The sequence below is a fragment of the Homo sapiens genome, chromosome 14, assembly GCF_000001405.40.
Source record: "Homo sapiens chromosome 14, GRCh38.p14 Primary Assembly".
Taxonomy (NCBI): domain Eukaryota; kingdom Metazoa; phylum Chordata; class Mammalia; order Primates; family Hominidae; genus Homo; species Homo sapiens.
This window is the reverse complement of record NC_000014.9, coordinates 80511456-80525928: the sequence shown is the minus strand read 5'-3', so window position 1 is coordinate 80525928 and position 14473 is coordinate 80511456. Positions and strand designations below refer to the sequence as shown.

The following is a 14473-nucleotide window of genomic DNA, read 5'->3' as shown; positions in this document are numbered from 1 at the left end:
TATATTCACTTATTACAGTGAAATATAATTAATTCTAAGAAGCGTCTTTCCTCCTCTGAATGTAATTGGATAGAATGCTCAGTGGATATAAAGACAGTGTTCATTTCCATAACTCCTTCTTAGCATGCTTAAAATGAGTATTATACTTCCTCCCTTCCAAATAAAAATTAACACAATTAGGACAGGTTATTGATACCCTTACTGTGAAGAGAGCATCCTGTGACTTTGTTCCTTTTTACCTTTGTTTTTAATAGATCCGTATATTCACTATAGTGGTGACCTTGTCTCGTATGGCAATTTTTAAGTTCCCTAAATCATCTTCCAACATTCCCAGTCAAGTCCTACAAACTCAAGCATTTCTGCATCATGTAAAGGAGTGCCACTAACCTATACAGAAATACAAAGTTTAGGCTATGAGAGCTAATGATTATTGAGCATATTTTAGAACAAACCACAAGACATTTCTTTTTGTAGGTGTTACATGCCTTATATACCTTATCATATTTAACATTCACAGAAATCCTCTCAGATAGGCGTGATTATTTTCCTTCTTATGCCATTGAAGAAAGCAAGGCTGTAGAGTAATAATTAAATGGTTGAATCGGGATGAAAACCTAAGTCTGCCTGGCTTTAGTAATTTATGTCATTGACCACTGTGCCATTACAGTATAAATTTAGACCTTATATACCTAATTTTTTCTGGAAGTCACCAAATGCAGGAATAATTTTCAATGTGTAAAAATTAGTGTTCTCCAAAAATACATAAACATAGTACATGCCTCTTAGTTCAACAGAGGTCTAGATGCAAATGAAACATTTAAAACATTATTTCCCAATACACTTAGAGTTGGTATCAGGTGAATCGGTGCTATCTGGTGGCACCCAAATTGCTATAAATCAATGCAATTTCCATAACAGCATATGGCAAAGCTATGAATGTTTAACGTGTTCAGCAAGTAATCTCATCGGAGTTCTGTTTAAAATTGCATTTGCAGCTGAAGAGGGAATCAGGCCTAGTTCATAAGAGGGGCCAGCACTTAGCAAAATGAAAAACAAATTTGAAAATTTTGCAAGTAGATAGTGCAAGTATAGAATAGACCTGCAGAACACATTTTATGATGGTGTTGTTCCACATTAATACTACTTAAATATTTTAAAACAGATACATTTTAGCAATGCATTTATTGACTATCACCATATGTCACAGATTCCTGTTCTGAAATAATATAGTTATTTAACATAAAACTCACAGGAATATAACATTTTTGGTAGTCATTGGTGAGGAAAATATAGGAACACATTTTTGCCAATTGTAGATACCAATGGTCGTTTTCTCATATTCCTTTCATGAAAATAAGTTTTTTACAAAAGACTGAGAGAGGAGGCAGCTTTAAAAGAAGAGTGAGCTTAAATGAGTAGTGAGAAAGTTGTGTTAGTCATTTCTTGTCTTCATGGATAATCAGAAGAGCCAGCTCTGATACATCACTGACATCCTGAAGAAAATGCTTCAGATAAGAGAAATAGGAACTCAAGAGAGAATGTGCCCCTTACTCCATCAGTTTCAGAAGACATTATTTCAGTAGCTATTAACTTTACCCACCTTTGCTAAGACAGAATTCAAAGAAAAGGCAAATTACAGGGACTTGAGTTCACTGGTTCTACTGAAAACTACAGTTCCAGGAAATCAGTGTAAGACTCAGTTTAATGCAACAAACATACTGTACAGCTACCATGTTGCAAAACACAGTACCTGTGGGTGTGGGGTTGGGGAACAAATGTATAAAGATGCAGAAAGCATGGTATTAAAGGAGAGAATAGTTACCTAGTTACCTTACTTCTAACAGACACAGGTGCTCTAGAGCAGAGGTTGGCAAACTGCTTATGGGTCCAATCTTGCCTGCCAACTGTTTTTGTAAATAAAGTTTTATTGGAATACAACCACACTCATTTATTCATATATTGTCTTTGGCTGCTTTTGCACTGAACAGTAGAGTTGAATAGTTGCTACAGAAACCATATGGCCCACAAAGACTAAAGTATTTACCATCTGGCCCTCTATAGAAAAAGTTTTCCAACCTCTGGTCTAGAGGAAGAAGAAATTACTAATCTACTTCTTCCTTTACACATTATATGACATGTTTCCTTTTTCTGTATTTGCCAATCAAATAGATACTCTCCAAGCTCTTTGGAAAGTCATAATACTTATTCATTCAACAAATATTTATTGAGTGTCAGCTGTGTGCCAGGAACTTTCTAGGTGCATGGGACTCACATCAGTGAACAAAATGAAACAAAAATATCTGCCTTTTTTGTTGTAGTTGGAGGATGTTCATGTTTTTGTTGTTGTTTTTCTAAACACAGCATTAATCAAACATTTATTGGATTTCTAATGCAAACCAAGGCACTGTGCTAGGAGCTCAGGAGAATGGCATCATAAGAAAAAACATTACCAACCCTTAGGAATTTAAATCCTTCATACAAATTACTGTGGTACAAAAATGAAAAGGGCTAAATGCTATAAAGGTGGCCCCAAAAAAGTGGCCCCAATAAACTGCATTGGGGGTTCAGAGGAAAGAAAGATGCTCAAGAGTCTTTTGAAAAGAGGTTTGTAAGGACAAAGCACAAGAAAACATTTATCCACATCTCAGTTTGGGAGAGGATCACTATTAGAATTTCAGTTGTAGATTCTGACTATATTACTGTTGACAGACAAATAACTGTTGGAATAGCAGACCATGTTGGCAGCTGGCTTCTCTTATGTTGTTGCTGTTGTAAGAAGGCACTGAAACATCCAACATGACCACACTGCTGGTGTAGGGAAGGGTTAGCAGGAAGTGAGCAAGTCAGGTTCTCTTTCAATCAATCCAAGGCTAGAGCCATCTCCTCTGTTTATTCCTGTGGCAATCACCAGGACAAAAAGGATCAGCTTTCTAGAAGCCTGTCAAGATTTTGAGCAGGACCAACATCCACAATTGTGAGAGCATAATGTAATATTGTCTTAAGTTGACCAAGCTAACTGGACAACGCCTGATCTAAAAGCTTATAGTTAGAATTCATTTCAAAGCTGAACCTAACACAACATTTTCTCTGTCTTGGTAGACAAGAGAAGCATTTCATGGCCTCTCTTTCATCAAGCCTAATTGGGTTTCTGTAGGACATACAGGCTTCCTTCCTGTCTCAGCTGTTTCAAATAGAACAGAATGTTCAAAAGTCAGCCAGTAACACAGCATTACTAATTTGAATTCACAGAGGAGCATGGTTTTGTCCAAGACATCCCCATTTATTACCTTTACCCATACTAAATATATGGTTTTAATTAACATTGGAATTTTTTAGTAAAATTGCAGAAGGCATGTTTATTCCCCATCCTTCTTCCCCTTGAAAGAAAAGTCATGATTTTTAACTTGTAGTTGAAGAGTTAGTATACAGTTTCTTTTTAAACAAACAGATGTTTTACGGGATAAGATGAGGTAGGTGAGGAAGCATTAATAATGGCTTTCAGCAGAGTCTACAGAAGCAGAGTTTGCCAAAGCCCTGTCATATTTGTTCAATGTAAGCATGTGTGTGATATAAGTACATGTTTTGTTCCTTGAACTCATTTCTCTCTCATTGAATCTTTGTGATTTGTTTATACCTTGCTCACAGCAATTAATGGCTGTTCAAGTCAGCTATTTCTGTACATATCTTAAATCTTCTACAACAGTAGCTTCTAAAGCATGCTGTGTATAATTCCTGGTACAATTCAAGTTTGTAGGTGATGCATAAACATTTTTATTTTAATGACTGTAAATATATATCACTAATGGATTATTACGTTGATTTTTACAGATATTGCTTAGGAATAGTAGTGGCAACCATGGGAGGATTTGAGAGAGCTTTAACTCTACAATACTCCAATTATCTCATTTATAATAACTACTCCATGCTTTGATAAGAAGTCATATGTAAACTAATATGCAAATACAGCTCTGTGCTTCTCTCCATCTTTTAAGCCTCCCCTATACAGAGATTTAGAGTGCAAAGTTAACAAGTAAATGTAAGAGAAAACAGTAGTAAAACTGTAGGTGAACACTGATGTTTGGGAAATGCCCTTCTACTAGATTGTATGGGCTTTTGAAGGCAAGCACTGCCGGGACTCCAGAACACACAGTGAGTGTACAATACATGTTAAACTGGTGATTTTAAAAACTTCTTAAAAAATCATTTTCTAGTTTCAGCCTTTCTAAAATTCTAACAAAAATTTAATTGCTATTTTTCCAGTAATGCTTACATGACACATTTAAAACCTTATAGGCAATCAAATCATGCTGAAATATGAAGATATGTTTATTCTCTTGAAGTGATCAAGACTAACCTGCAAGCCATATTTAACTAGTCAATTTCATCCTGCTCTTCAAAATTAAACGAAAGGTTGCCAGTTGAATTGGTATTTTTTTCTTTGTTATAAAATCTGAAAATCGTAATGGATCTAAAGTGCTTATTCAGAAATCAACCTGGGTACTTCGATGAGTATAATTAATATTTTAACCTATTAGAGCTGCACTTTATCAAACCCAATTCCCTCAGCAAGCCACATGCTTTTACCCTTCCAAATAATTTACTCAATAAGAATATTAAGAAAAGAAAGATTGTGAAGAAATTTAGCTATAGAAGCCATTTTTAATAATCTCTAATTCAAAATTCTAGGTACTAAAAACAAAAGAAATACCAATTAAATTTATTAGTTTTTAACAAACATCATAATATATTCATCCAAACAATGATTGTTTCCTTTAAAATAGTCACTTTAAGGCCGGGTGTGGTGGCTCATGCCTGTAATCCCAGCTCTTGGAGGCTGAGGTGGGTGGATCATGAGGTCAGGAGATCGAGACCATCCTGGCTAACATGGTGAAACCCTTTCTGTACGAAAATTACAAAAAAAAAAAAAAAAAAAAAAAAATTAGCTGGGCGTGGTGGCGGGTGCCTGTAATCCTAGCTACTTGGGTGGCTGAGGCAGGAGAATGGGGTGAACCTGGGAGGCAGAGCTTGCAGTGAGCCGAGATCGTGCCACTGCACTCCAGCCTGGGTGACAGAGCGAGACTCCATCTCAAAAAATAAATAAATAAATAAAGTCACTTTAAGAAACTAAGCGCTGATTCCTATGAACCATCATTAAAAACATCTTTGCATCCCTGCCTTTATTTCTTATGTCAATGGCACATTTTTTTGAGTATGCTTGTTTATGGCAAATTTTTATCTACTATGAGTGGATTTGGTTTCTGAAAATGGATTAAAGTCATGTGAAGCCAAGTCTGAAGTAAGTAAAAAGAAAAAAAAATTGAGTAAAATCTTTTCATTATTGACACACTAGGAATATATAATTTTATACAATAAAATATCAATTAGCTATTAGTCCTATTATGAAAACTAGTCAAAGAGATTCAAATGGATTTATCTAGAATAGTATTTTCATAAGTCTGTTAATAGGGTAAATGAATGTTGTTTTTTGTTTGTTTGTTTGTTTGTTTTTTTAGATGGAATCTCGCTCTGTCACCCAGGCTGGAGTGCAGTGGCACAGTCTCAGCTCACTGCAACCTCTGCCTCCTGGGTTCAAGCAAGTCTCCTGCCTCAGCCTCCCGAGTAGCTGGGATCACAGGCATGCGCCACTATGCCTGGCTAATTTTTGTATTTTTAGTGGAGATGGGGTTTCACCATGTTGGCCAGGCTGGTCTCCAACCCCTGACCTCAGGCGATCCGCAAGCTTCCACCTCTCAAAGTGCTGGGATTACAGGTGTGAGCCACTGAGTCTGGCCTGCTTTGGGTTTTTAATATTGTTCTATCAATTTGGATTCCCAATGGTAAATTTGCATAGTTTGCATAGTTAGAAGTACTGGTTGTTCACTGTTTCTGTCTGGATAGATTAGAATCATAAAATGTTAGTGCTGAGAGGACTTAGAGATGATCTGGTGCAGCCCCATAATTTTTTTACATCAAGAGACTGAGAATGTGAGAACAGTAATTTCCTGTTTCCCAGCTTCCACCACAGCAAACTTTAATTTCTGCACTTTGGTCAAGAAATGATCATCATATGACCATTTATTGAGTTCTTTAGTGTAGATGGCACAGTGCTAAATTGTGGAGTATTTGGATGGGTAGATGGAAAAATGAGTAGATGGAAAGATGGGTAGATGGAGACAATCATAGCCTCACCCTCTTGGAGGTTAAAAATGTAAAATAGCAGCCACACAGATGGAGACATGGAGGGCAGACTTTAAGTAAAACATCTGCCCAGATTAAACTTTCAGATAGGAATAAAGCAGTTTACTGAGGAAGAGATTAAGTTTTCTTGAGCACTGATAGAGAACTGGGAATTCAGAATAGGGCAGAAATGGAAGGACAGTGCATTATTAGGCTAGAGACAAATTCAGGAAAATATTTTGCCAGGGAATCTGAAATACATACGTGTTTGTTCCTTCTCTCCAGGGGAAGGGCTGGACAAATTAAAATTTTAAAAAATTAAATGTATCATTTGTCTCATACACTTTGAACTTATAATATTCCAGAGAGAAAAATACTTGGTGGGTATCATTAAATATTCATCATTAGAGATCAGCTTAGCAAAGACATTTAGTCAGGTTGGAACAGCTTTTTAAAAACCAATTACAATGTGGGTTATGAAAGAGAAGTGGAAGAAGCCCAGGAAAAATATTAGAAAATGCAAGTCCCTTCACCCAGTGGAACTTTTGCAGAGAATTCTGGCTAACTAGCTTGTTGAGACTTAGGACAGCAATGAAAATAGGTCCTTGTGCTAAGTGTGTAAGAATTGGTAAGAAGCAAAAGCTGGGATTATTAGAATTGCAAAGAATGTTCCTTTTTAACAAATATTTCCTTTTTAATACTTAAGCTTTTGGTGCAAAGATAGCTAGGAATTGCAAACATTCATTTTATGGTCACCTTATAAAATTTACTTTTATAGAAGTTCCACAAATTAATTATCAGTATAGAATTAGAGGAGATGACATTATTTTTTTCATACTCTGTTATGTTGATTGTTCAAAGCATTTTGAAATATTTTTATTTTAGGGTAGTCTTTTAGGGTTAACTTGGCTAGTTTTGTTTCAAGGTAACATAATAAATTCTGACAATATTTTGAAGACTTATATTAGAACTTAAAGATATAATAGAGTTAAACCTCCTCATTTTCCAAAAGTGAAAGAAATAAATGTGAGTGGTTGAATCATGAATAAGTCAACAATTGTAAAGGGAAGGAATAACAGTCATAAATGTGTGTTCACCTATTAACAGTGTCAAAATATATGAAGAAAAAACTGATAGAATTGTAAGGAAAAATAGACAAATCCATAATTACAGTTGGAGATTTTAACATTCCTTTTTCAGCAATTCATAAAACAGTAGGCAGAAAGTCAGTAAAGACACAGAAGACTTGAACAATACTATTAACCAAGTAAATTTAATTGACGTTTATAGAATACTTCCCCAACAACAGCTAATTACACATATTTTTCATGTACACATTGAATATTTCCTAAGGTAGACTATATTCTGAGTCATAATGAGAGACAGGGCTAGCTGGATTTCCTAGGGCGACTAAGAATCCCTAAGCCTAGCTGGGAAGGTGACTGCATCCACCTTTAAATACGGGGCTTGCAACTTAGCTCACACCCGACCAGTCAGGTAGTAAAGAGAGCTCACTAAAATACCAATTAGGCTAAAAGCAGGAAGTAAATAAATAGTCAATCATCTATCACCTGAGAGCACAGAGGGAGGGACAATGATCAGGATATAAACCCAGGCATTCTAGATGGCAATGGCAACCCCCTTTGGGTCCCCTCCCATTATATGGGAGTTCTGTTTTCACTCTATTGAATCTTGCAACTGCACGCCCTTCTGGTCCGTGTTTGTTACGGCTCAAGCTGAGCTTTCGCTCACCGTCCACCACTGCTGTTTGCTGCCATCACAGACCTGCCACTGACTTCCACCCCTCTGGATCTGGCAGGGTGTCCACTGTGCTCCTCCTGATCCAGCGAGGCGCCCATTGCCACTCCCAGTCAGGATAAAGGCTCGCCATTGTTCCTGCACGGCTCAGTGCCCAGATTCATCCTAATCAAGCTGAACACTAGTTGCTAGGTTCCACGGTTCTCTTCCATGACCCACAGCTTCTAGTAGAGCTATAACACTCACTGCATGGCCCAAGATTCCATTCCTTGGAATCTGTGAGGCCAAGAACCCCAGGTCAGAGAACAAGAGGCTTGCCGCCATCTTGGGAGCTCTAAGAACAAGGACCCCCAGTAACAATAAAACAAATTTCAGTAAAGTTAAAATGATTGAAATTATACAATATATGTTGTCTATCCACAACAGAATGAAATTAGAAATTAATAACAGAAAGATACCTAAAAATTTCCCAAATATTTAGAAGTTAAACATGATACTTCAAATAATCCATGGATATGTCAAGAAATACATCAAAAGAAAAATTAGAAAATATGTTACCTATATAAAAATTAATACAGAATTTATGCAAATTTGTGAGATCATCTAAAAAGTGCTCAGAGGGAGATCTGTAACATGAAATGGGTATATTACAAAAGAAAAAATGTTTCAAATCAATAGTCTATGTTTCCATTGTAGAAATCTAGAAGACCAAGAGCAAATTAAACCCAAAGTAAGTCAAAGCAAGGATATAGTAAATTTAAGATCAATGAAATTTAAAAAATAAATAAATTACCTAAAAGCAGGTTCTTTGAAAAAACCAATAAGAATTAAAAACCTCTTGCCAGACTGATTAGGAAAAAAAAAAGAGAAGATACAAATGGCCAATATTAGGAATGAAAGAAGAACATTACTACAGCTCCTAATGATATTAAAAGAATAATTAGGGGGAGGAGGCAGAGCAAGATGGTCAAATAGAACCCTCCAGCAATTGTCCCCCTATCTCTCAGGAAAACCAAATTGAACAATTAACTATCAAGACAAAAAAGCACTCCTATATGAATCAAACTTAAGGCGAGCAATCACAGTACCTGGTTCTAACATCATATCAAGGAAGAAGGCACTGAAGAGGGTAGGAAAGACTATCTTAAATTGCCTACACTTCCCCACTCCTCCCCCAACTTCTGGCAGCAGCCACGTGGTGGGAGAGAGAATCTGTGTGTTTTGGGGAGAGAGAGAACAGTGATTGTGGAACTTTGCATGGGAACTCAGTGCTACCCTGTCACAGTGGAAAGCAACACAAGGCAGAATTTAGTCATGCCCATGGAGGGAGCATTTAGACAAGCAGTAGCCAGAAGGGAATCATGCATCCTGATAGTTGGAATCTGAATTCTAGCTAGACCCATCACCATGGACTAAAGCACTGTGGGATTCTCAATAAACTTGAGAGGCAGTTTAGCCCACAAGGACAAGCCTGGTACTATGCTGGGCTTGGAGCCATTGGAGTGACCTAGTAAGACAACAGCCAGGGCTGTCAAGGGAGTGCTAGCATCACCTTTCCCCCAACTGAGGCAATACAGCTCGCAGCTCCAGGAGACACTCCTTTCTTCAGCTTTAGTTGGGGAAAGGAGGAGAGTAAAGAGGACTTTGTTTTGCAACTTGGATACCAGCTTAGCCATAGTAGAATAGGGCACCAGGCAGAGTCCTGAAGCCCTCATTCCATGACATAGCTCCCAGATAACATTTCTAGATGGATCCTGGGTCAGAAGAGAACCCTCTTTGTTGAAGGAAGGACCCAGTCATGACAAGATTTATCACCTGCTGACTAAAGAGCCCGTAGGTCTTGCACACCTGTAATCCCAGCACTTTGGGAGGCTGAGGTGTGCAAATCACCTGAGGTCAGGAATTCAAGACCAGCCTGGCTAACATGATGAAACCCTGTTTCTACTAAAAATACAAAAAAGTTAACCAGGTGTGATGGTGTGCACCTGTAATCCCAGCTACTCAGGAGGCTGAGGCAGAATTGCTTGAACCCGGGAGGTGGTCGTTGCAGTGAGCCGCAGTTGCACCATTGCACTCCAGCTTGGGCAACAAAAGCGAAACTCCATCTCAGAAAGAAAAAACGTAAGTGGTACCCAGGCAGTACTCGCCATGGGTCTTAGGTAAGACGCAGGCCTGTGCTAGCTTCAGGTGTGACCCAGCACATTCTCAGCTGTAGGTGTCACAGGGAAAGACTTTTCCTGCTTGAGGAAAGGAAAGAGAAGAGTAAAGGGGACTTTGTCTTGCAGCTTGGGCAACAGCTCAGGCAGAGTGGGGACCCTGATTCCAGATCTTGGCTTCTGGACAACATTTCTGGACCAGTCCTAGACCAGGTAGGAGCCTGTTGCCCTGAAGGGAGAGGCCCAGGCCTGGCAGCATTCACCGCAACCTGAATGAAGAGCCCTCAACATTATCTGGTTGACAGTTGTTTGAGCGAACATCGGTAGTAGTCAGGCAGTACTCATCATGGGCCTGGGGCTATGGTGGTCACAGAGAGAGACTCTTTCTGCATGAGGAAAGGAGAGTGAAAAGTAGGGAGAACTTTGTCTTGTGGCTTATGTGTCAGCTCAGCCTCAGTAGAACAGAGCACCAAGTAGATTCATAAAGTTTCCAACTCTGGGCCCTGGCTCCTGGATGGCATTTCTGGATCTGCCCTGGGCTGGGGCAGAGCTCACCACTCTGAAGGAAAGGCCACAAGCATGGCTGGATTCACCACCTGCTAACTGAAGAAGCTACAGGCCTTGAGTGAACATGACCAGCAGCCAGGCATTAGTCATCATGGACCCAATAGAGTCCTAGTGGTGATGATTACAGGGATGTTTCTATCACCTCTCCCTCATCTCCAGGCAGCTTGTCATGGAGAGAGAGATTTCATTCATTTGGCAGAAATTAGGGGAAGAGAAAAAGAGATTCCGCCTGGTAACCCAGGGAATTCTCATGGATCTTATTCAAGACCGCCACGCAATACCTCTATGAGTCTGCAAGACTCACAGTGATACTGGGCTTCAGGTGCCCTTTAATGCAGACATGGCTGCAGGGACCAAAGACTTAGATCACAACACTCAATTCCCTTTGAATACTTGGAAACCCTTCTCAGAAAGGATGGATCCAAACAAACCTAGACTGCCGAGACTACAATAGATACCCAACTCTTCAGGGCTCAGACATCGACAAATATCCCCCAGCATCAGAACCATCCATGAAAATATGCCCTCACCAGACAAACTAAATAACACACCAGAGACTGATACTGGAGTGACAAAAATATGTGACCTTTCAGAGAATTCAAAATAGCTGTTTAAATAGCACCACAAAATTCAAGATAACACAGAGAAGGAATTTAGAATCCTATTAGATAAACTTAACAAAGAGATTGAAATAATATTAAAAAATCAAGCAGAAATTTTGGAGCTAAAAAATTTAATTGACATACTGAAGAATGCATCAGAGTGACTCAAAAGCAGAATTGCTTAAGCAGAAGATACAATTAGTGGGTTTAAAGACAGGCTATTTGAAAATATACAGTCAGAGGAGACAAAAAAAAAAATAATGAAGTACACCTATAAGATCTAGAAAATAGCCTCTGTTGATGAAAAGAGTCAGACTTTGTAAAATATTTGAAGAGATTTATTCTGAGCTAAATATGAGTGGCTGTGGCCCATGACACAGCCCTTAGGAGGGTCCTCAGAACATGTGCCCAAGGTGGTTGGGGTACAGCTTGGTATATGTATTTTAGGGAGGCATGAGACATCAATCAAATACATTGGTTTGGTTCAGAAAGGTGGGACAACTCAAAGCAGGGGCTTCCAGGCTATAGGTAAATTTAAACATTTTCTGGTTGACAATTGGTTGAGTTTATCTAAAGACTTGGGATCAATAGAAAGGAAATATTCAGGTAAAGATAAAAGATTGTGGAGACCAAGGTCTTTTTGAAGTCTTATAGTGGCTGCCCTTAGAGACAATAGATGACAAGTATTTCCTATTCAGATCGTTAAAAGGTGCTAGGCTTTTAGTTAATCTCTTCAGGATTGGGAGGGCCTGGAAGAAAAAGATCTAGCTATGTTAGTAGAGATTCTTCACAGACGCAGATTTTCCCACACAAAGGATGGCTTTGCAGGGCCATTTCAAGATATGGCAGAAAAACGTGTTTTGGGGTAAAATATTTTGATTTTCTTCCTTGTGTTGTACTGTTATGCCAGAGTCAGATTGGAAAGTAAGTCACGATATATAGAATTAAATAAAACCCATCTGATGAGAATGTATAGTTTGTAGGGCACAACTCTCCAGACCCCTTAGACAGGAATTTGGGCAAGATTAAAAAATAGAGCTTAGTCTTCTCCTCAAAAGGACAGACACAAGAGTTTTTGGCCTTAAAGAGGAGCTAGAGAGAGAGAGATTAGAGTAGAAAGTCTTTCAAAGAAATAATAACAGAGAACTTTCCAAAACTACCGAAAGATATAAATATTTAAGTACGGGAAGGTTATAGAACACCAAGTAAATTTAACCCAAATAAGACTACCTCAAAACATGTAACTCCCAAAGGTCAAGTATTAGGAAAAAAAATTAAAAGCAACAAGATTAAATAAACAAATAACATTCAAAGAGCTCCCATACATCTGTCAGCAGACTTTTCAGTGGAAATCTTACAGGCCAGGAGAGGCAGGCATGACATATTTAAATTGCTGAAGGAATACAACTTTTATGCTAGAATAGTGTATCCAGGAAAAATATCCTTCACATGTGAAGGGGAAATGAAGACTTTCCCAGACAAACAAAAGCTGAGGGTATTTATCAACACTAGACCTGTCCTATAACAAATGCTAATGGGAGTCCTTCAGTCTGACGTAAAAGGATATTAACAAGCAATACTATATCATCTGAAGGTACAAAACTCACTGGTAATGGTAAGTACACAGAAAAATCTGAACATTATAACACTGCAATTACAGTGTATAAAGTACTCATACCTTCAGTAGAAAGACTAAAAGATAAGCCAATCAAAAATAAAAACAAATACATCTTTTCAGGACATAAATGGCGTAAGATAAAAATAGAGACAACAAAAATTTAAAAGTGGGAGGGGTGAAGTTAAAGTGTTTTTATTGGTTTTCTCTTTGCTTGTTTGTTAGTTTGCTTGTTCTTGAAGTGTTATCATTAGTTTAAAATAACATGTTATGTTATTTGCAAACCTCATGATAACCTTAAATCAAAAAACCTACAATGGATACACAAAAAATAAAAAGCAAGAAATTAAAACATACTACCAGAGTTTTACAAAAAGGAAGACAGAAAGGAAGAAGAAGACCAGGAAACAAACATAAAATGAATAACAAAATGACAGGAGTAAGTTCTTGCTTATCAATAATAACAGTGAATGTAAATAGACTAAATTCTCCAATCAGAAGACACAGAATGACTGAATGGATTGAAAAAGGAAACAAGACCCAATGGTCTGTTGCCTACAAGAAACACACTTCACCTATAAAGACATATGTAGACTAAAAATAAAGGGATGGAAAAAGATACTTCATGCAAACAGAAACCCAAAACAGCAGGAGTAGCTATACTTATATCAGAAAAAATAGATCTCTAAACAAAAATCTATAAAAGACAAGGTTATCATAGACAAGGTTATCATATAATGATAAAGGGGTGCATTCAGGAAGAGGATATAACAATTGTAAAAATATATGCACCCAACACTGGATTACCCAGATATATAAAGCCAATATTATTGGAGCTAAAGAGAGAGAAAGATACCAATACAATAAAAGCTGAAGACTTCAACAGCCCACTTTCAGCTTTGGACAGATTGTCCAGATAGAAAATCAACAAAGAAGCATAAGACTTAATCTGTAGTATAGACCAGATGAACCTAATAGATATGTACAGAACATTTCATCCAGTGGTTGCAGAAGACATTCTTCTCCTCAGCACATGGATCATTGACAAGGATAGACCATATGTTTTGGCACAAAACAGTTCTTTAAAAATTCAAAAAAATTGAAAAACCAAGTATCTTCTCTGACTGCAAGGGAATAAAACTAGAAATCAATTTGGAAACTATACAAACACATGGAAATTAAACAGTATGCTCTTGAATGACCAGTGGATCAATAAAGAAACTAAGAGAAATTTAAAAATTACTTGAAACAAATGAAAATGGAAGCATAGCATATCAAAACCTCTGGGGTACAGCAAAAGCAGTACGAAGAGGAAAGTTTATAGCAATAAATGCCTACATCAAAAAAGCAGAAGAACTTCAAATAAAAAACTGAGTGATGCATCTTAAAGAAACAGAAAGCAAGAGAAAACTAAACTCAAAATTAGTAGAAGAAAAATAATGAAGATCAGAGTAGATATAAATGAAAGTGAAATGAAAAAAATACAAAATATCAACTAAACAAAAAGTTGTTTTTTTGAAAAGATGAAATTGACAAACCTTTACCCAGAATAAGAAAAACAGAGAAAAGACCCAAATAAATAAAATCTGAGAGGAAAA

The 14473-nt window shown here is 37.6% G+C and overlaps 1 protein-coding gene across 13 annotated transcripts in view; it reads left to right on the top strand.

Annotated features, from left to right (window-relative positions):
* Positions 1-14473, top strand: part of CEP128 (centrosomal protein 128) — a 482534-nt gene that overhangs the window by 433574 nt on the left and 34487 nt on the right. The window lies entirely within an intron of this gene.